This window comes from Homo sapiens, chromosome 5 (genome assembly GCF_000001405.40).
Source record: "Homo sapiens chromosome 5, GRCh38.p14 Primary Assembly".
NCBI lineage: Eukaryota > Metazoa > Chordata > Mammalia > Primates > Hominidae > Homo > Homo sapiens.
The window spans coordinates 69,112,870-69,134,887 of record NC_000005.10 but is presented as its reverse complement, the minus strand read 5'-3'; the positions used below and the strand labels follow the sequence as shown (position 1 = coordinate 69,134,887).

Genomic DNA, 22,018 nt, shown 5'->3' with positions numbered 1-22,018 from the left:
AACCCACCCCGAGTAGCTATCCCCTAGATCCTGTAATCCTGCCATCATGTCTGGCTAATTTTTGTATTTTTAGTGGAGACGGGGTTTCACCATGTTGGCCAGGCTGCTCTTGAACTCCTCACCTCAGGTGATCCGCCCACCTCGGCCTTCCGTAGTGCTGGGATTACAGGCATGAGTCGCCATGCTGGGCCAGAGAGTAATAGATCTTTAAACTGGTATTCAAATACCCTCAAATCCCTGCTCCTAAGCTTCCTAACTGTAGGCCTATTTATCCCATGTCTGAAGGCCAAGATTATGCAAAACTGAAGTGCCAATGGGTTTACATGGTTCACTCCAGGTGGAATGAATCCCTTTACCATCATACTTCCATGGTAAGTTTACCAGTCCCCTAGGTCTATCAAATGCCACTTCCTCTTTGAAGCCTTGCCCTCTTCCCTTCAGCTAAAATTAACCTCTGCCTGGCTTAATGGCTCATTCCTGTAATCCCAGCTTTTTGGGAGGCTGAGGTGGGAGGATCGCGGGAGGCTGAGGTGGGAGGATCGCGGGAGGCTGAGGTGGGAGGATCGCTGGAGCCCAGGAGTTTGAGACCAATCTGGACAACATAGAACCTGTTTCAACAAAAAATAAAAAATTAGCCAGGCGTGGTGGCATGCACCTGTAGTCCCAGCTACGATAGGGAGGCTGAGGTGGGAGGATCACTTGAGCCCAAGAGTTCAAGGCTGCAGTGAGCCATAATGATGCCACTGTACTCCAGCCTGGCAACAGAGCAAGACCCAACTCATAAAATAAAAGTAACCTCCACATTCTGAAGTTTGCTATTTGCTTGTGGCATCAAATCTCTCTAATCTCTCAGTTACTTATGTCTTCTCTTCCCTACTGTAACAAGCATATTGAAGGTAGGGTTTGTATCTGATTCATCTTTCAAGTTTACAAATAAGGGGCCATGAATATGTTACTTAGTTCAAGTCACCATCCTCTCTCATTTCAGCTTCAGCAAAAGCCTTCCAACTGTCCCCTAGATTCCACTCTTGCTCTCCTACCCTGATTCTTTTGAAACACATTGGCTCAAGTCAGTACCTTATTTGGAGCCATCCACAGACTTTCCAAGTTCTCAACATGCTGTCTGTCTAAGTTTGCTGCGATCACCGGCCTCTTGCTTCTTTTTTTTTTAATCATGCTAAGCACCTCCTGTCTCAAATGTCCTTGCATTTCATTTGATGTTCTCTCAGTCTAGAATAGTAGCTGTTAGTAGAAGATGGTTTAGAATCCTGGAGATTGTTTGCCTCCTGACTTCAATGCAGTGCTGAAGTCTTCTTCCATAGAAATCCTCTTCAACCACTCTCTGGCACCTCTATAACTCTGTCCTTGAACGCTGCTTTAGTTGAGTCTCAACCCTGAATCCAGAGTGCCTAGTTGAGAAAATTGGCTTTCCCACTTATAACGTGTATGATTTGGGGCAGGTTAATTAACCTTTTCCTGCCTCAGTTTCTGCATCAGTAAAATGGAAATAATAATTACACATATTTATTGTTTAGAACAGTGTCCATCTGGAACATGGCAAAAGTTCAGTAAGTTATTGCTTTTCTTCACAGCACTTACTACATTTTATTACATACTGGTCTTGTCTTCTACATTAGAAGTAAGCTCCATTAGGGCAGGACTTTGTATTACTGAGGACTTTATCCCTAGCTCCTAGTGCAGTGTATTTAGTATAAAGGCCTTCAGTATTTGTTATGAGTTAATTTACTGAATGTTTAAAACGCCATAAATTGCTATAACAGAAGAAAAGAATTATAATTAAAAATAAAACACAGGCCGGGCACGGTGGCTGATGCCTGTAATCCCACACTTTGGGAGGCCGAGGTGGGCGGATGGATCACAAGGTCGAGGTCGAGACCATCCTGGCCAACATGGTGAAACTCTGTCTCTACTAAAAAAAAAATACAAAAATTAGCTGGGCGTAGTGGCGTGCACCTGTAGTCCCAGCTACTCAGGAGGCTGAGGCAGGAGAATCGTTTGAACCCAGGAGGTGGAGGTTACAGTGAGCCAGATTGCACCACTGCACTCAAGCCTGGCGACAGAGCGAGACTCTAAAAACTAATAAATAAAAACATAAATAAAACACAAAAAGCCATAAATGATTGTATTATTTTCTTTCTTTTTTTTTTTTTTTTGAGACGGAGTCTCACTCTGTCACCCAGGCTGGAGTGCAGTGGCACGATCTCGGCTCACTGCAACCTCCGCCTCCCGGGTTCACACCATTCTCCTGCCTCAGCCTCCCGAGGAGCTGGGACTACAGGCGCCCGCCACCACGCCCCGCTAATTTTTTGTATTTTTAGTAGAGATGGGGTTTCACCGTGTTAGCCAGGATGGCTATAATCCTCATACTTTGGGAAGAAGAGGTGGGAGGATCACTTGAGCCCAGGAGTTCCGAGACTTGCATGGGCAACATGGTGAGACCCTGTCTCTACAAACAATAAATTAGCTGGGCATGGTAATGTGCACCTGCAGTCCTACCTACTGGAGAGGCTGAGGTGGGAGGATTGCTTGAGCTCAGGAGTTCAAGGCTGCAGTGAGCAATGATCATGTCATTGCACTCCAGCCTGGGCAACAGAGTGAGACCTTGTCTCTGAAAAAAAAATCCAAACTCCCCTCCCTCAAAACAGGCTTCTATTTTGGGCATTATTTTTAACTTATTTATATGTTAAACATCTAATTAATCTCTTGAGATGCTAATTTATAGAAAAAAAGAGACAAGTTAATGACGGCTACCTTTGAAGTCAGGCTTAAAAAGTAACAATTCTTCGTATTTAGCCTTTTTCTTTTTTGTTTTTGAGATGGAGTCTTGCTCTGTCACCCAGGCTAGAGTGCAGTGGTGCTATCTCGGCTGCCTGCCAGCTCCGCCTCCCAGGTTAACGCCATTCTCCTGCCTTAGCCTGCCGAGTAGCTGGGACTACAGGCGCCTGCCACCACATCTGGCTAATTTTTTGCATTTTTAGTAGAGACAGGGTTTCACCATGTTAGCCAGGATGGTCTCGATCTCCTGACCTCGTGATCCGCCCACCTCGGCCTCCCAAAGTGCTGGGATTACAGGCGTGAGCCACCGCACCCGGCCTATTTAGCCTTTTTCAACTTCCACTGCATTTTCACATACATTATACCTTTTGTTCCCATATCCTGTGCTGTAAATTTGAGCAGGTTTTATATAGTTTATATATGAGGAAAAAAAAAAGATACCTCAGAAAGGCTGATTTGCCTAAAGTTGCATGAATTTTTTTTTTTTTTTTGAGATAAAATCTTTCTGTGTCACCCAGGCTGGAGAGCAGTGGTGCCATCATGGCTCACTGCAGCCTTGGCCTCCTAGGTTCAAGCAATCCTCCTGCCTCAGCCTCCCAAGAGGTATGTGCCACCATGCCCCAGCTAATTTTTAAAAATTTTTGTAGAGATGGAATCTTGCTATGTTGCTCAGGCTGTTCTCAAACTCCTGGGCTCAAGCTATCCTTTTGCTTTAGCCTCCCAAAGTGCCAGGATTTCAGGCAAGAGACACTGCACCTGGCCTAGTTGCATGATTTGCATGAGCTGAAATACAGTACCCTGGTGCTTTCAATATTAGAGTTTCCATACTTTATAATTGTACCTCCCCAACCTTCAGCCCCTGCTCTCTCTCACTCTAATATCTCACAATCACATTAATTTTTTTGCTGTTTATATGTCTTCTAAGGGAAATGACAATTTTAACTTTGGTGTAATATTTATTGCACCTATCTACTTAATTTTTTAATGTATAAAAATTGCATTAAAACATCAATATGCAATTATTTTCCCACCACTCAAAAATTTTAATATGTATTGAAGATTTTGGCCAAAAAATATGCAAAAGACAAGGAATATAAAAATAACTTACAACAAATTTCTAAAACCCCTCATATATTAAAATTGGTAAGACAAAAATATGATTTATAATACATGTTTGCCATTGTGGTATATATAAGAAAATAGTACTCATACTAAATTCAATCTACTTATCAAAATTCTTAATATAAGAATGAAAATATTCAGATGTTATAAATAGAAAGACAGGTATTAAAAAGTTTCTTTTGGACAACATTCTTTGGTGCTGATAAAACTGCATGTTATTGTCTATGGTAAAGTCTTTTCAGACTTTACTACATATCTAGTTACAACTGGAAATGAAAAAAATATAAATTAGATATGACTATAGAAAGTAGTTATAGGGTATTTTGATTTCATGGTGCTCAAATGTTTATGAACAAGTTTTACTTATTAAACTTTGAAATAACTACCTATTCTTTGATATTTCTTATATATCTATATGTTCCAGAAATTAGAAAAAAGTTACCTACATAGGCAGAGAATTCAACTGTGAGTTGACAATTATTTACGATTCTCTTAACTGGCTGTTTCACAACGTTATGGAGCTAAGAAAGGATGAAAGCTTACCACTGCTTGGATACCAGCTTGATAAGCAGCTTGGAATGTCAAATATATAACAAGAAAGGAAATATTCTACTTTAAAGGAACATGGTAAGTAAATGAATAACATGGACACAACTTAGTATAAGTTCTTTACCCTAATAAATTAATTATTCATTTGCAAATATTACCAAAAGTAAAAAAAATTTATTTTATAGAGTGGTTGATTTTTGTAATACATCAAAAACTGTGATGTTATACACTTCCCTATTCTCATTGCTTATCTCATATCAGTGGTTGAAGTTTCTCCCAAATAATTTAGTTTACATTTAAAGTGGCAATACAGATTTTACTTAATGGACTTAAGTTATAATTAGAAACCAGTTTTATATACAGAAAATCCATAAATATAGAACTTTTATTCCTATTTTATCTTTAGGCTATGCAAAAAATGGACTAAAAATTTTTCATTTGGGTCTTTGTAATAAACATGTAAATACATATTTACAATGGAGATGCTTCCTGATAGAAAGTAAACAGAAGTAATTTTGGTCTTCACTAGAATCCATCATATCTATTTTTGAAGATGATGTAATACATCATGTTTACTCAAAATTTGATTCCTTTTATACACATAATTTAAATAATTACTCCACTTTTACCATTAATGTTTCATTCTGTATTTAAATTTCCTTCAAGAAAGATTCCTTGATCCAGTAGTAGGGAACTCTGTTTCTGTACAGTTAATGTGTAATTTTTATCCTTCTGGCAATATTACAAATACTGAGTCATTTAATCTTCATTGTTTATTCTCCAGGGGTAATTCTTGAGTTATCTCACATGATGTAAGTACCATCTTTGCAGTATTTCATGGATTCCATTTGTTTTGTCATAGCCAGAACATCATGAAATCCAGTACTTAGGCCAGACATATGTTGAAAGTATGCCTCCTTTTCCACTTGAATTGTTAAATTGTTTACTCCAGCATCTTTAAGTATTCCTGTAACCTGTTATAAAAATCCAGATATTTTGAAGCATTTAGAGTAATGCATTTAGTACACACGTCTTAATATGCTGTACATAGTTGATACGGGTTGAGTATCTTTAATCTGAAAATACGAAATCTGAGACGCTCTAAAATCTGAAACTTTTTGAGTGCCAAGATGGTGTTAAAAGGAAATGCTCATTGGAGCATTTTGGATTTGGATTTTCAGATTAGGGATGCTCAACTGGTAAGCGTAATGCGAGTATTAAAAAAAATAAAATCGCAAATCGAAAACACTTCTGGTTCCAAGCATTTTAGATAAGGAATATTAAACCTGTGTCACATTTTTAAAATAGTTACAGGCCAGGCACAGTGGCCCAGGGAGGCTGAGGCAGGAGGATCGCTTGAGCCCAGGAGTTTGAGACCAGCCTGGGCAACATAGTGAGATCTTGTCTCTAAAATGAATGAGTAAACAAACAAACAAACAGTTACAGTAGTCCAAGATAAATCTTCGAAGTAATATTCATCATTTAGTTAGTTAAAATATTAGACTCTTTTAGGTCAGTAAATTACTGATTTGACATTCACAGTAGAAAAGGAAAACAGCCATTGTTTCCAATTTGGCACATCTAGAACAGGGCTTTAGTAACTATTCTGACCTCTATCTCCAAACATAGCATATACCCTGCCAAGTTGATTATTACTAATTTAGGAATATATTTATAATAACTTATTTTTTGATAATCTACTGGAAACCAAGATTAATCAAACTCATAAATGAATTTTTTTATATTAATTAAAGCTTATCCTCTAAACACAAAACTTCATTTATTTTAGCAATTTTTAGATATAAAACAAATCTAGATGTAAAAAGTAAGCTATATTACCGTTACAGATTTGGAAGATTAGGCCGGGCATGATGGCTTGCCTATAAACCCAGCACTTTGGGAGGTCGAGGCAGGCGGATCACCTGAGGTCAGGAGTTTGAGACTAGACTGGCCAACATGGCGAAACCCCATCTCTACTAAAAATACAAACAAACAAACAAAAATAGGCGGGCATGGTGACGGGTGCCTATAATCCCAGCGACTTGGGAGGCTGAGGCAGGGAGACTGCTTGAACCCAGGAGGCGGAGGTTGCAGTGGGCCGAGATCACGCCACTGCACTCCAGCCTGGGCAACAGAGTGAGACCCTGTCTCAAAAAAAAAAAAAAAAAAAGAGTTGGAAGATTGATATTTCTGAATAGTAAATGACTACTGAGCCATATAACTTATGAGGTGTACAATTTTGGGTATGAATGACCTCAATTAAAATTACTTTAAAAACAAAAGATTACCTGCTGTACTATTCTTTGTTCTAGCACATCAGATGTCACCTGTATATGAATTGTTCCTGCCACAATACTAGCAGAATGACGCCAAAAATGAGGGTCTCGGTATGATATTAATCCTTCAATTTTCTGTATCTGTCAAATAAAAGAGGTGATATAAATGGTCATACAGGCTACTTTACACAACACAATGGAGATGCTTTCTGACAGAAAGTAAACACACAGATTCCTTGGTCCAGGATCACTATTAAGCTCTTTAAAATACAAAACAAAACAAACAAAAAACCAGCCATAATGAGAAGCCAGAAGCAGGAAGGAATAGGAGATGGGAAAATAGCTTAAAGTAAAGGTGCCTAAAATATTCTGATCTATTTCTGGAGGCTACAGATGTGTGGGGGAAAAAAAATCTCACCTAGGAATGATGCTAGTATGGCAGCTCTGAGTAGGAAGGCAAATGGGTGTTACAGGTATCTTTATTTTGTTCGTTTTTGTTTTTTTTGAGACAGTCTTGCTCTGTCGCAGGCTGGAGTGCAGTGGCACCATCTTGGCTCACTGCAACCTCAGCCTCCCAGGTTCAGGCAATTCTCCTGCCTCAGCCTCCCAAGTAGCTGACTACGGGTGCACGCCACCACGCCTGGCTAAATTTTTTTTTTTTTTTTTTTTTTGTATTTTAGTACAGATGGGGTTTCACCATGTTGCCCAGGCTGGTCTCGAACTCCTGAGTTCAGGCAATCCACCCACCTCAGCCTCCCGAAGTGCTAGGATTATAGGTGTGGACCACCGTGCCCAGCTGTTACAGTTATCTTTATACCTAAAATGGGCTCTTATCAATAGCAGTACCCTTATTTTCCCTGATACAGCACAACTCTGCCTATTCTAATCATGACCTAGACACATTCAATGAACTACAAGTTCTCCTTTACACGGACACATTCATATGCACATTATTTGTTATATAGAGATAACACATTCAAAAGATATCCTCAATGTTCAACAACAGAGGATTGGTTAAATAAATGATTGACTGCCCATACAATGTAATAATGCAGTCATTAACAATGTATTAGAATATTAATCAACATGACATTATTAAGTGGGGAGAAAATTTATAAAACATTACGAAAGTTTTTTGCCATTTTTATTTTCAAAATTTTAATATGGAAACAACTTGTAAAAATGTTTCTTTACATGGCTTTTTGTAGAATGGGAAGGAAACAAAAAGTATTTCTTTCCAGGTGGTAAAATTATGTGATTTTTTTTTTTCTTTTTTGCACTTTTCTATATTTTGAAGTTTTCTGCAATGGATATATATACATATATATATATATTTTGTTGTTGTTGTTGTTGTTGTTTGTTTGTTTGTTTTTTTAAGACAGAGTCTCACTCTGTCGCCCAGGCTGGAGTGCAGTGGTGTGATCTCGGCTCACTGCAACCTCTGCCTCCTGGGTTCAAGCGATTCTTCTGCCTCAGCCTCCCGAATAGCTGGGACTACAGGCACGTGCCACCACACCCAGCTAATTTTTGTATTTTTTGTAGTTTTAGTAGAGATGGGGTTTCACCATATTGACCAGGCTGGTCTCAAACTCCTGACCTTGTGATCCGCCCGCCTCGGCCTCCCAAAGTTCTGGGATTACAGGTGTGAGCCGCCACGCCTGGCCTACAACAGACATATATTATTATTGAAATAAAAAATACTTTAGGCCAGGCGCGGTGGCTCACGCCCATAATCCCTCACTTTGGAAGGCCAAAGCTTGAGCTCAGGATTTCAAGACCAGCCCGGGCAACATTGAGAAACCCCAGCTCTATTTAAAAACAAAACAAACAAACAAAAACTTAAAAAAACCCCATGATGTACTACTATCCAATAACTATGAGGTGAGATAACTTTACTAATTTTATTTATGAAAACAATGGGTTAAGATGATAGAACTTAAATATTCAAGATGCTATCTTTTCATCAGCAGATCCCAATTACTTTAATATGATGTAGTAAACCACGAGGTGAAAGAGAGTCTATTTTATATTTGTTTATTTCTAGGAATTGCTGGTTTATATTCTCATCTTATTTTTCTACATGACTGTTTTTCCTTTGAGACAGTCTTGCTCTGTTGCCCAGGCTGGAGTACAGTGGTGTGATTTTTGGCTCACTGCAACCTCTGCCTCCTGGGTTGAAGTGATTCTCATGCTTCAGCCACTCAGGTAGTTGGGATTACAGGTGTGCGATACTACTACACCCAGCTAATTTTTTTTTTTTTTTTTTTTTTTTTTGAGACGGAGTCTCGCTCTGTGGCCCGGGCTGGAGTGCAGTGGCGTGATCTCGGCTCACTGCAAGCTCCGCCTCCCAGGTTCATGGCTCACTGCAAGCTCCGCCTCCCAGGTTCATGCCATTCTCCTGCCTCAGCCTCCCGAGGAGCTGGGACTACAGGTGCCCACCACGGTGCCTGGCTAATTTTTTGTATTTTTTTTTAGTAGAGACGGGGTTTCACCATGTTAGCCAGGATGGTCTCAATCTCCTGACCTTGTGATCCGCCAGCCTTGGCCTCCCAAAGTGCTGGGATTACAGGCCTGAGCCACCGTGCCAGGCCTAATTTTTTTTTTTGTGTGTGGGGAAGGACAGAGTCTCGCTCTGTTGCCAGTCTCGCTCTGTTGCCATGGCGTGATCTCAGCTCACTGCAACCTCCACCTCCTGGGTTCAAGCGATTCTACTGACTCAGCCTCCTGAGTAGCTTGGATTACAGGTGCCCGCCACCATGCCCGGCTAATTTTTTATATTTTTAGTAGAGATGGGGTTTCATCATGTTAGCCAGGATGGTCTCAATCACCTGACCTCGTGATCTGCCTGCCTCAGCCTCCCAAAGTGCTGGGATTACAGGCGTGAGCCACCGTGCCCGACCCTAATTTTTGTATTTTTAGTAGAGATGGACTTTCACCATGTTGGCCAGGCTGACCTTGAACTCCTGGCCTCAGGTGATCTGCTCACCTCAGCCTCCCAAAGTGCTGGATTACAGGCATGAGCCACCATGCACAGCTAAGATTGTCTTTTTCTTGACTTAAAGAATTATGGACAGTAAACCTTTGCCTGTTTATATGTGCTGCAAATGTTTTTTCCTGGTCTGCCTTTTATGTTTTATACTTGTTAATGAAATCTTCCACCAACTGGCAATTTTCAACTGGTCAAATTTGTAAATTTTATCCTCCCTTTTTGGCCTCTGGTTTCAAGTATATTAAAAAGTCTTTCCCTATCTTTGTGATTATAAACATATTTTTCTGGCGGGGTGCAGTGGCTCACACCTGTAATCCCAGCACTTTGGGAGGCCAAGGTGGGTGGATAGCTTGAGGTCAGGAGTTCAAGACCAGCCTGGCCAACATGGCGAAACCCCATCTCTACTAAAATACAAAAATTAGCTGGGTGTGGTAGGCCTGTAATCCCAGCAACTTGGGAGGCTGAGGCAGGAGAATCGCTTGAACCCGGGAGGTGGAGGTTGCAGTGAGCTGGGATTGCGCCCCTCCACTCCAGCCTGGCAACAGAGCAAGACTGTCTCAAAAAACAAACAAACAAAAATATTTCTCTATTTAGTAGTTTCATAATTTTTTTGTCATTTACATATTTAATCCACTGGAAATGTATTTTTATATAATATGGTATAGAGATATAGCTTTTTTTTCCCCACAAAGTAAAGAAGTAATTAACCAAAAGCTGGTTATTTAGGTCAACTATTTCTCCCCAGTGATCTAAAATACCATCTTTGCTATATACTGAATTCCATAAACTCCTGGGTCTGTTTCTGGACAACCTATTTTTATTTCTTCTTTTACATTACATACCATAATTCTTCATTTATTTTCATTTTTTATTATTTCTTCTTTTACAGACAACCTATTATTATTGTTACTATTTTTTTTTTTGTGCTGTCCAGGAAACAATCCCAGGTCACAAGAATGGGAACTTATTATTTTTTTAAAAGTTGATTTATGTCTTTATTCTTGTGCAAGGACCAAACTGTTAGGTTTTTTTTTTTTTTTTTTGAGGTGGAGTCTCGCTCTGTCACCCAGGCTGAAGTGTAGTGGCGTGGTCTCGGCTCACTGCAAGCTCTGCCTCCCGGGTTCACGCCATTCTCCTGCCTCAGCCTCCCGAGTAGCTGGGACTACAGGTGCCCGCCACCACGCCCGGCTAATTTTTTGTATTTTTAGTAGAGACGGGGTTTCACCTTGTTAGCCAGGATGGTCTCGATCTAAACTGTTAGTTTTGTCACTTAATTCTGCTACTTTATAATTGCAAAGTAGGATCCTATTAATTAATTCTGTAAGTTTATGTATGTTTTCTTATTCTCAAGCGCTAACTCTTCCAAGTAAGTTCCAAATAATTTTAGAACATCCCAAACCATAAACAAAAATATCCAATGAAGGCAACTAAATTGAAATCTAAATAAAATAAAATCAACATCATTATAATAAAGAGTCTTCTCATCCAAGAAAATCTCATCCATCTATTCGGTCCCTGTTTTATATCCTTTAAGTAAAACTGTATTTTTCTCATTTATATCTTGCATATTTCTTGTTAGGTCAACTTATTAAATTTTAAATGCTACTTTATATTTCTTTTTTGGCCTCGTTTTGTTTTATTATTTATTTGGTTGTCTGTTTTACTTCCAGCAAAGACTTCAAAAATGTGATTTTCAAGGAAGAAAGTAGTGAAGAAATTACATACAGTACCTTTTCTAAAGCAATATGTAGTTCTTTTTCATATTCTGGTGGCAATCTCAGGAGTAGAACCTGGCAGGCATCTTTAATCAGTGGAACAACACTGAGAAATATTAATATAGCAATAAAAAGAGAACAGAGTGGGTCAGCGATGAACCATCCAAACTGCTCTATAAGAACTGTGGATACGATCACACCAATGCTGCCAAGTGTATCTGCCAAAACATGTAGAAATACACCTACAAATAAAATATATAAGGACATTAAAAATTAAGGCACATCTAATTTAGTTTTTTAATACATTCTACTAATATTACTGGATACCTACTGTGCACCACATACTCTGCTACTGGCTAGTACTTCAAAATGCCTAAAACATGGTCACTGCCCTCAAGGAATTCAGAATACAGTGGTAAAAATATAAGGACATAGGCACTCATGACACAGCGTGCCAAATTTTATGGTGTACTTTGTCTGGAAAGGCTTCCCAAAAATCATACTTGAGGCAAGTTTTGACATTACCCACATTACTTATATTAAGCAATCAGAATAAACAATTCAGCAAAATAAATGATTAGTACTTCCTCCATTTTTTTTATAGTGCAATAAAAATTTCTAAAAAAGGAGTAAGAATTTCCTTTTTGTAATGAAGGTTCATAATAGCACACTGTGTTTACCTTGCAACTAATATCTATTCAGCTGTCACTATGAAAAGGACTATATAATTATAATCATTTAAAAACTAACATTTAAGAACAAATATATTTTCATTTTCTTTTTGTTTTGGATAGAGTCTCACTCTGTTGCCCAGGCTGGAGTAAAGTGGCGTAATCTTGGCTCACTGCAACCTCCATCTCCCAGGTTCAAGTGATTCTCGTGTCTCAGCCTCCTGAGTAGCTGAGACTACAGGCGCCTGCCACCACACCTGGCTAAGTTATGTATTTTTAGTAGAGACAGGGTTTCACCATGTTGGAGAGACTGGTCTCGAACTCCTGACCTCAGGTGATCCACCCACCTTGGCCTCCCAAAGTGCTAGGATTACAGATGTGAGCCACTGTTCCCAGCCTCATTTTCTTTTTAAAAAATTTTCTGTGACGGCCAGGCATGGTGGCTCACACCTGTAAGCGATTCTTCTGCCTCGGCCTCCTGAGTAGCTGGGATTACAAGCACCTGCCACCATGTCCGGCTAATTTTTGTATTTTTAGTAGGCACAGGGTTTCACCATATTGGCCAGGCTGGTCTTGAACTCCTGTCCTCAGGTGGTACTCCCGCCTCAGCCTCCCAAATTGCTGGGATTAACAGGCGTGAACCACCATGCTCCCAGCCAGAATGTCCCTCTTTTTAAAGGCTGAATAATATTTAATTTTATGTGTATTCAGGTAAGAATATTTTCTATAGTGATAGCTTCAGACCTTTCTTTTAGTCACAGATTGCTTTTTAAAAATCATATCATACCAGAAGCCCAAAACTTAATACAAATAAACACAGAGGGTTGATTTAGAACACAGTTGAAAAGTAGGATAATATTTTGCAAGGACTCACCCCTCATGTTAGCATTCATGCCTCCACCCGCAGATCCGTGGCTGTGACCATGCCCATGGTCACTGTGTCCATGCATATGGTGTGAATGGCTGTGATCAGATGAGTGACAGCTTCCTTGAGAAGCTCCATGGGCATGGCTATGGGCATGGCTAAAGGCACAGATACCAATAAGGTTTACTATCAGCCCTCCAACTGAGACTGGCTAGCAAAAGGGAGAAAAAAAACCTTTAAATTAGTAATTTAAAAATAGACTTGTTATTTAAAAGTTATTATATAGCTATATATGTTTTTCTGTTTACAGTTTTGAAAGTATTCACAGTAAAACCTTACTAAGTTTCAGTAAGTCCAAAATTTTAAAAATGTGAATTTTAGAACATTTTAGAAGAAACATTTTAACTTTCAAATATCAAGCAGAATTGGTAAGTAGAGGAATTTGGACTTATTTCAATTAAGAATGGTATGTACTTGGTTTATGGTTTATGTATAAATAAATGATGCAAAGTTTTGTTTTGTTTATTGAAGAGTTTGAAAGTACTGCTTACTAGGGCAAGTATACACTGTACCTGAAATCTTTATATTGCTAGGTAAATTTGAACAGTTTATATGCCAACAATTATAATTTATTAATGAGCAGATTCCAAATATGGTCTTATTATGTCTTAAACACAGTAAAATTTTCCAAAGTAAAACAAGTATAATAAAAAGGAAACATACAATAGTAATCTCGCATTTATTTAAATTAAAAACAAATTTTTTTCTTTGGTAGAGACAGGGTCTATGTTGCCCAGGCTGTCCTCAAACTCCTGGGCTCAAGCGATCTTCTCACCTTGGCCTCCAAAAGTGTTGGGATTATGGGATTACAGGCATGAGCCACTATGCCTGGCCTCTCATTTTTTTCTTAACAAAGTGAATGAAATTACTTTAATTTAATGGTGCCACAATAATACTCCAAAGGATAAACAAAGTTACTTATCCTTGATTATCTGCTCTTACAAAATGATCTTGAATAGTAGTAGCTCAGGGTGTTAATTTGCCTACATCTACAATTTAAAGCAATCCATTTGTTTTATAAAAGGAAAATATAAATATGAGAAGGACAAATACTTTTAATTACTTTTCAAAAGTAGTAAGAGATTTACTTTATTAAATGTGTAGGGAGGTTATTTACTTCTTCCTGATTCGGACCATTTGACTCCAGATTTTAAAATTTCATTAGGCTTTATAAGCTGGTAGATGGTTAATGACTTTGAATGAAACCAAGTACTGCTTACAGAGACTCCATCATCTCATAAGTACTCCTTCTCCCCTACTGAAAAATACTTCATCATTGTGTATTTTATCAGGAAAATAAAAATGTAGAAGATGAAAGTCCCCTATAATTCTACCACCAAGGGTTAGTCACGCTTAAAATGGTGTATTTTCCATCTGTGTACTAACATACATACACATAACACCCTTTAAAACCAACAATGTAATCATAATACTATTTTACAATTTTTTTTTTTTCATTTTGAGACAGAGTTTTGCTCTGTCAACCAGGCTGGAGTGCAGTGGCATGATCTCGGCTTATTGCAACCTCTGCCTCCCAGGTTCAAGCAATTCTCCTACCTCAGCCACCCAAGCAGCTGGGATTACAGGCGCCCGCCACCATGCATGGCCTGCAATTTGTTTTTCACTAGTACATCTCGTAAATATTTTCAGGCCAGTATATACAGATATATCTCATTCTTTTCAATAGCTCTGTAATATTCTATTATATAGATAACAAATTTATTTAATTACTTTTTTCACTGGTGGACAGTGAATTGTTTCCATTTTTTCACTATTATAAATAAGGGTACAATGAATCATGTACTACTTTTTTTTTTTTTTTTTTTTGAGGCAGAGTCTCTCTATCACCCAGGCTGGAGTACAGTTGGTGCAACCTGGGCTCACTGAAGCCTCTGCCTCGTGGTTGAAGTGATTCTCCTGCCTCAGCCTCCCAACTAGCTGGGATTACAGGTGTGCGCCATCATGCCCGGCTAATTTTTGTATTTTTAGTAGAGATGGGGTTTCACTATGTTGACCAGACTGGTCTCAAACTCCTGACCTCAGGTGATCCAACCACCTCGGCCTCCCAAAGTGCTGGGATTACAGGCGTGAGCCACTGCACCCGGCCAGAGTCATGTACTTCTATATGTTTGTGTGAATGTTTATGTATGATAAATAGTCAATATCAAAGGATACAGGCACTAAAAAATCCAAAAAAGTCTATTTTTCCAAACTGTATTATAGAAACATTTTACTCATGTATGCTTCCACCAGCAAGAGCCAGAGCTGCTTTTTGTCATTTAACAACTGATTTCCTACGACAAGCCAGGTGCTAGAACTGAACTTAAGAGTTAATAATATGTAATTCAGGTCCTGAAGATACTTACATATCTTAATTGTGGAAGAATGACAAATTAAACAACTGCAACTCAATGTTGCTAAAAGAAGAATGCACAAAACATAATGAGAATACTGAGAAAAGGAATCTAACAAACTTTGTGGAGAGAAGAGGGGGATTAAAAGAAAGTATTTCCAAAAATTAGGCAGGCGTGGTGGCAGGCGCCTGTAGTCCCAGCTACTCGGGAAGCTGAGACAGGAGAATTGCTTGAAAAAAAAGAAAAAAAGAAAAGAAAAAAAGTATTTCACATAAGCAAAATCTTGATGGAGGCTGAAGGGCAGAAGTAAGGAAAGGACATGCCAACTACAAGAAACAGCACATGTAAAGCTTTGGTGGTACAGGGAGAACATTAAAAGTTGCTATAGCTGGCCGGGCACAGTGGCTCATGCCTGTAATCCCAGCACTTTGGGATGCCAAGGTGGGAGGATTGCTTGAGGTCAGTAGTTCGAGACCAGCCTGGCCAACATGGCGAAACTCTATCTATACAAAATATACAAAATTTAGCAGGGGGTGGTGGCACATGCCTGTAATCCCAGCTACTCAGGAGGCTGAGGCACGAGAATCGCTTGAGCCTGAGAGGTGGAGGCTGCAGTGAGCTGAGATCATGCCACTGCACTCCAGCCTGGAAAACAGAGACTCTGTCTCAAAAAAAAAAAAAAAAAAAAAGAGAATTTCTAAGAGGGAGCAGTATAAATGTAAACAGCAAGATAGGAAGTTATGTTGATATAAGTAAAAAATAAAACCTTCTTAGAGCAATAACTGCAAACAATTAAACTTTAGGATAGAAAAAACTATGTAAGTATGACTAGAAATCCAAATAGGAAAATAAAAAGACTTACTGTTAACATGTGAGTGTCTAATTCTGGAGGATCAATCAATCTAGCCACTGACTCCATAAACACAAAAAACGCTATTACTATTAGAAAAAGTCCATTAATAAATCCAGACAGAATTTCTATTCGGCCGTACCTAAAAACATAGAACATTTTTCAGAAAAGGAAAAGGACAAATATTTTTAAAGTATAAACTTTATAAATGAGGAAACAAGTCCAAATTTTCATACTACTAAGTAATTAATAATAGAAAATTAGCAATATTTTAAATATCATATTAATGCCTGGAAGGTCCTTCATATATATATACATATATATATATACACATATATATACACGTTATATATGAATATATATACGTTATATATGAATATATAACATTTTAACGAATATATACATTTGTTAAAATGTTATATATTCATCAAAGTCCTTCTTTACTCTCTTTTTTTTTTTTTTTTGAGACAGAGTCTTGCTCTGTCACCCAGGCTGGAGTGCAGTGGCACGATCTTGGCTCACTGAAAGCTCCGCCTCCTGGGTTCACACCATTCTCCTGCTTCAGCCTCCCGAGTAGCTGGGACTACAGGTGCCTGCCACTACGCCCGGCTAATTTTTTTTGTATTTTTAGTAGAGACGGGGTTTCACCGTGTTAGCCAGGATGGTCTCGATCTCCTGACCCTGTGATCCGCCCGCCTCGGCCTCCCAAAGTGCTGGGATTACAGGCGTGAGCCACCGCACCTGGCCCTGTCTTTTTTTTTTTTGAGACATAGTCTCACTCTGTTGCCCAGGCTGGAGTGCAGTGGCACGATCTTGGCTCACTGCAACCTCTGCCTTCTGGGTTCAAGCGATTCTCCTGCCTCAACCTCCCGAGTAGCTGGGGCTACAGGTGCGTGCCACCATACCCGGCTAATTTTTGTATTTTTAGTAGAGACGAGGTTTCACCATGTTGGCCAGGCTGGTCTCGAACTCCTGACCTCAGGTGATCCGCCTGCCTTGGCCTCCCAAAGTGCTAGGATTACAGGCGTGAGCCACTGTGCTCGGCCAAGGGAGCATAATCTTTGAGCTTAATTCCATTCAGTATTTATCAAATGCCCGATTCACATCCCCTTATTTACTTCACATTTTTTAAAAATGAAGATTTGGAAATTATTTGTATTAAAAGTAATATAAGTAATATAATTCTGTTCCTTAAGATGGAATTTGCACTTAAGATATACCACCTCGACAGTCAATGTACCTACCCATAGGAGAAAATCCGAGTGGCTTTCCACCTACTCATCAGGGCAGCAAAAAGTCCCATGACTAAAGCAGAGCAGTCAAAAAGCATGTGGAATCCATCCGAGATCAGGCCCAGACTATTGGTCAGCACGCCATAGAATAATTCCACAAAGGTAAAAAGCTAAAAATGTCACCAAAAAAAAAGGGAGGAGTATGTTGGGCACTGTTTCAATTAGGAGGATTTTAACCCTTAATTATCCAAATTTACTTGAAGATCTGCTATAATTGTTTAGTTATTTAACTGCCACTTACATTAGAAACCCTATTTCACACAAATTGTAAAAACTAAGATAAACCCATTTTACAAACTATTAAATTGTAAAAAACTAAGATAAATCCATTTTAGAAACTATTTAAAAATGGTTTTGTTTATATGTCTATAAAAATAATAAACTAGGTTATAAAATGTTAGCAATAGGTGATTTATAACACTGATTGCTAATAGTGAGATCCTGTAAGTTATTAGAACTCTTTAAATGCTACTATATTTACTGATTTGAAGGAACATACTAAATCAATGCTTCTAAAATGCCTCACAAATTGTTTGCTTAAGTGGCTGGGCACGGTGGCACATGCCTTAAGGATTGCCTAAGGAATCTGAATATGATCTCGTAATCTTGCTATTATACTTAGAAAAAATTTAAATTTTAGCTCATCTTATTATCAGAAATTTGGGAAGTACTAAACTTATACCAGAACTGTCAAAATTAAAATATTATGCTTTTAGGATATGTCAATTAACATTTAAAAATCTTACCAGATTCAAGCACAAGAAGTAAAAGATCTGCCTAGAGTCACTCTCCTCAAGAATTTGTTTTAGTGATTCCTTAATAAACCTAGGGATCGATTGAGAGCTATGCTGAAAAGCATCACCCATGAAGTTATAAAGAGGTGTTCCTTCAGGAGAATATCCAATAAGGGTACCTTTTTGTCCTCTCTTAGAGGGAGATGATAAGATATTGGCAGCTACAAAGAGAAAAAACAATATTGTTTAAATTTTCGAAGTTTAAGCTACCAAAACCAACACAGTAACTGTCGGCACTAAATGCAAGCACTGAAGAATTTCCCAAAATAAGTAAATGATGTGACCATCAAAATCCATAAATAGAAATTTGTTAAAATAAAAAAAAGGGGGGAATGCTTACACAAAATGAAGAATATAGCACTCACTACCACTCCTCCAGACAGGACGTGTTCAGTGCTCTCCTGGTGTGCTGCTTTGTTCATAGCCCGAAGCTGGTCTGTTATTGGATGTGTCCAAAAATTTCCAAAAAGGAGAGCACTAATAAAAATGGGAAAGGATCCATAACGAGCACATTTGGAAACTTCCATTTTGACTGAACAAATGGAATCCACGTAGAAATCCAGGATCATGACAAAAAAGATAACCGTTGCAAAAGGCATAATGAGAGAAAACCAAGACTCCACTTTACTCTAGAAATTAAAAAAAAGAATTGTCAAGACTATACATGTATAAAGTTCACATCTTACAAGATGTTTCTGTTAATCTTTTAAAAAAATAAAAATCGCATGATTCAATATGATTCATAATATGCCAACATATAAAAGCTATAAGATATTGGTACATTTTCTCAGTATTCTCCAAAGTTTTAAAAAACAAAAGCACTATTGTGTAATCATTCGATGAACACTAGGCGACACACAATCTTTAAGCCTAACACATGGTTAATTGCTCCTTCTTCAAATGATTCCTTTGGGCCATAGCAATGTGAGGGATATGTAAATGTAATAGCATTTGATTTGTATTTTCTATAAACAATAAAATTAACTCCAAATTTTTTTTAAAAAACTACAAAGAAAAAGCAAAGACAATTTAAGCCACTTTCAACCTCAAATTAAAATATAATTTATTGAATACAGTGAACTAAAAATTTAATAGCAATTCATTTTACTAGCAATTTAATACCAATAAATTCTTGCTCTTATCTTACCTCAGTTGTCACAGAAAGAACAATGACCCATGGGCACAAGAGAAGCACAGAAACAAGATGAGATAAAGCTTGAAGACGTTTAGCTCCACCAACGTCGACAGAGAGCTTTCTGGAAGCTGTATGAAAACCAACTTTACAACACAAAGCCAGTACTAGCAATAATACTCCACCCTGTGAGTAAAATTAGATAAGTCTCATTAGAAACACACACAGTTCAACAGTCAGTCGTTAAATACATGATCTTTTTTTTTTTTTTTTTTTTTTTTTTTTTTCCCCAGAGACAGGGTCTTGCTCTGCCACCCAGGCTGAAGTATAGTGGCATGATCACAGCTCACTGCAGCCTCAAACTCCTGTGATCAAAGAGATCCTCCTGTCTCAGCCTCCCAAGTAGCCGGGACTACTGGCACACACCACCACACCATGCTAACATAATATTTAAGGAAATGGAACTAGTATATTTTTCCCATATACTCAATTACGTAACTACTTAAATGGCCGGCAATGTTATAACTTACTGATAATTATTTTATTTTATTTTTTTTGAGACAGAGTTTCGCTTTTGTTGCCCAGGCTGGAGTGCAATAGCGCGACCTTGGCTCACTGCAACCTCGGCCTCCCGGGTTCAAGTGATTCTCCTGCCTCAGCCTCCAGAGGAGCTGGGATTACAGGCATGTGCCACCATGCCTGGCTAATTTTGTATTTTTAGTAGAGATGGGGTTTTTCTATGTCAGTCAGGCTGGTCTTGAACTCCCGACCTCAGGTGATCCACCTGCCTTGGCCCCCAAAGTGCTGGGATTTCAGGCGTGAGCCACTGGGCCCAGCTGATAATTTATTTTAAATGTACCTTTATAGTTATAGTTGCTACAACTTTTCAGAATCTTTTGATCCTGTTAGGAACAAAGAAATCATACCTTGTGATCTGCCACACCTAAGAAGGCAATGGCTGTGTAAAGCATATGAGTTAGAGCACTGTCATGATGTCCTTCAGCTAAGTGAGTTGAAGTAAAGGAAAAAAATTCCAAAAAGTCACTCTTTGACACCTGAAGTTCTCCTGAAATTTTAGTTACATTATTTTGGATTGCATATAGACTGATCTGGAGGCCTCAAACTTAATTACTTTCAATAACATGTTTCACTTAAAAACAAAACAAAATAAAACAATCTAACATTTAATTCCAGGACCTCATTTATAAACTGGAATGCCTGTATTTCTTTTGTTGTCTCCAAAACAATTATAATAGTGCTTAAGATAAACTTGCCAGATTTTAGTAGTTAACCTCTAAAAGACACATTGCATACATACTTTAAGAACGACAAAGGTACAAGAGCAAGGAATCTCCCTGGACCACTCCTGTCCAGTGGAATTAAGGTTGCCCTTTAAGACTGACATGTAAAATGAGTCCTAAATCTGTCTTCTAAGTCACTGACCACATAAGTCTTAGCAAATTAAGTGGCAAGCAAAAGAGGGTGGGGAATAGAGGTTGTATCACAAGCAACCTGGAGCTTTTCCAAAGTCACACTCTTCTCCCTCACTGTAACAAAGAAAATTATTATTAGTTTACTAATAAGTTTTAGGGCAGTGAGTATCAGTAATAGAAGAATAAAAACTGGTGCTTGGAGTTCTGCTGGATGGAGTGGGTAAGGATGTATGAATAGAAAATAGAAAAAAAGGCATGTTTGTAGAGTAAAATGAGTAGATATATTTGACTAGAAAGTTGGGTTTCTGTAAGAGAAGAGTTGGGGCTGAGCTAGAGATAATAATTTAGAGCAAGACAATGAATACTAGGTAAGGGAATTTGAACTTTTTCTTTCAGGCAAGAAGATACTAAAGGTTTTTCATTTATCAGCCTTTTAATTGTTAAATTATAAGGGAGCAAACATGTTGAGTGGCAAATCACCTTTTTTTTTTCCAGCACCAGGACATTCCAAAATATTCTTTCAATGTCCCTACATTTCTGAAAATTTAGGGTACTGTAGGTGATACAGAGATGCTATAAAATATTTAACTTATAATGAGTTTGTTCATTATTTGAATACTGATTTAGAATATCTACATTAATCTATGAAAGTTTCATTCATCATTGATCAGTTTAATTCACTTATCCTTTCTTTTTCCATTGTTCCAGGCTTCTAGTTTTCCTCAAGACTTGAAACAACTCTGATCTATTCCAAAAGGATACGGTGTTCAGCCATTTTAGCCATGAGATCATCATTGTCAAAAAGCAATAAACAGATCACAGCAATAATGAAAAAAGCAGCTCCCCTTGTCTGAAAATAAAGAAAACAACATCAAGGATGACTTTTTCAAGGGTTGATTTTTAAGACCGTAACTACATAAATACTAAAGAAAAACATTTTCTCAAGTAAGCATTTACAAAAATGCATTAAAAAACAGAAAAAAATCTGACATTAAAGCTCTTACATATTATAAGCTTACAGTATTGGCAGTAAGATATCAAAGAGATATAAACTAATGATAACATTGATTATCTCTTTGCTAACATGGCTGGGCATATTACTATGTACAAATTGGTACTG

The 22,018-nt window shown here is 38.2% G+C and overlaps 1 protein-coding gene across 4 annotated transcripts in view; it reads right to left on the bottom strand.

The window, feature by feature from the left end:
* The window catches only part of SLC30A5 (solute carrier family 30 member 5), a 37,056-nt gene continuing 18,856 nt past the window's right edge, over positions 3,819–22,018 (bottom strand). For 2 of the 4 annotated variants that reach the window (NM_022902.5, XM_005248569.4), the window contains 11 exons: positions 21,661–21,748; positions 20,392–20,468; positions 19,481–19,651; positions 18,674–18,962; positions 18,286–18,494; positions 17,492–17,649; positions 16,260–16,389; positions 12,993–13,194; positions 11,463–11,689; positions 6,756–6,884; positions 3,819–5,441 (listed from right to left, as the gene is read on the bottom strand). In NM_022902.5, coding sequence (NP_075053.2) covers positions 5,271–5,441; positions 6,756–6,884; positions 11,463–11,689; positions 12,993–13,194; positions 16,260–16,389; positions 17,492–17,649; positions 18,286–18,494; positions 18,674–18,962; positions 19,481–19,651; positions 20,392–20,468; positions 21,661–21,748 — 1,851 coding nt within the window. In that variant the 3' untranslated portion in view covers positions 3,819–5,270. The remainder of the gene's footprint in view (positions 5,442–6,755; positions 6,885–11,462; positions 11,690–12,992; positions 13,195–16,259; positions 16,390–17,491; positions 17,650–18,285; positions 18,495–18,673; positions 18,963–19,480; positions 19,652–20,391; positions 20,469–21,660; positions 21,749–22,018) is intronic. The other 2 variants (XM_006714672.5, XM_017009749.2) reach the window with 1 other exon arrangement.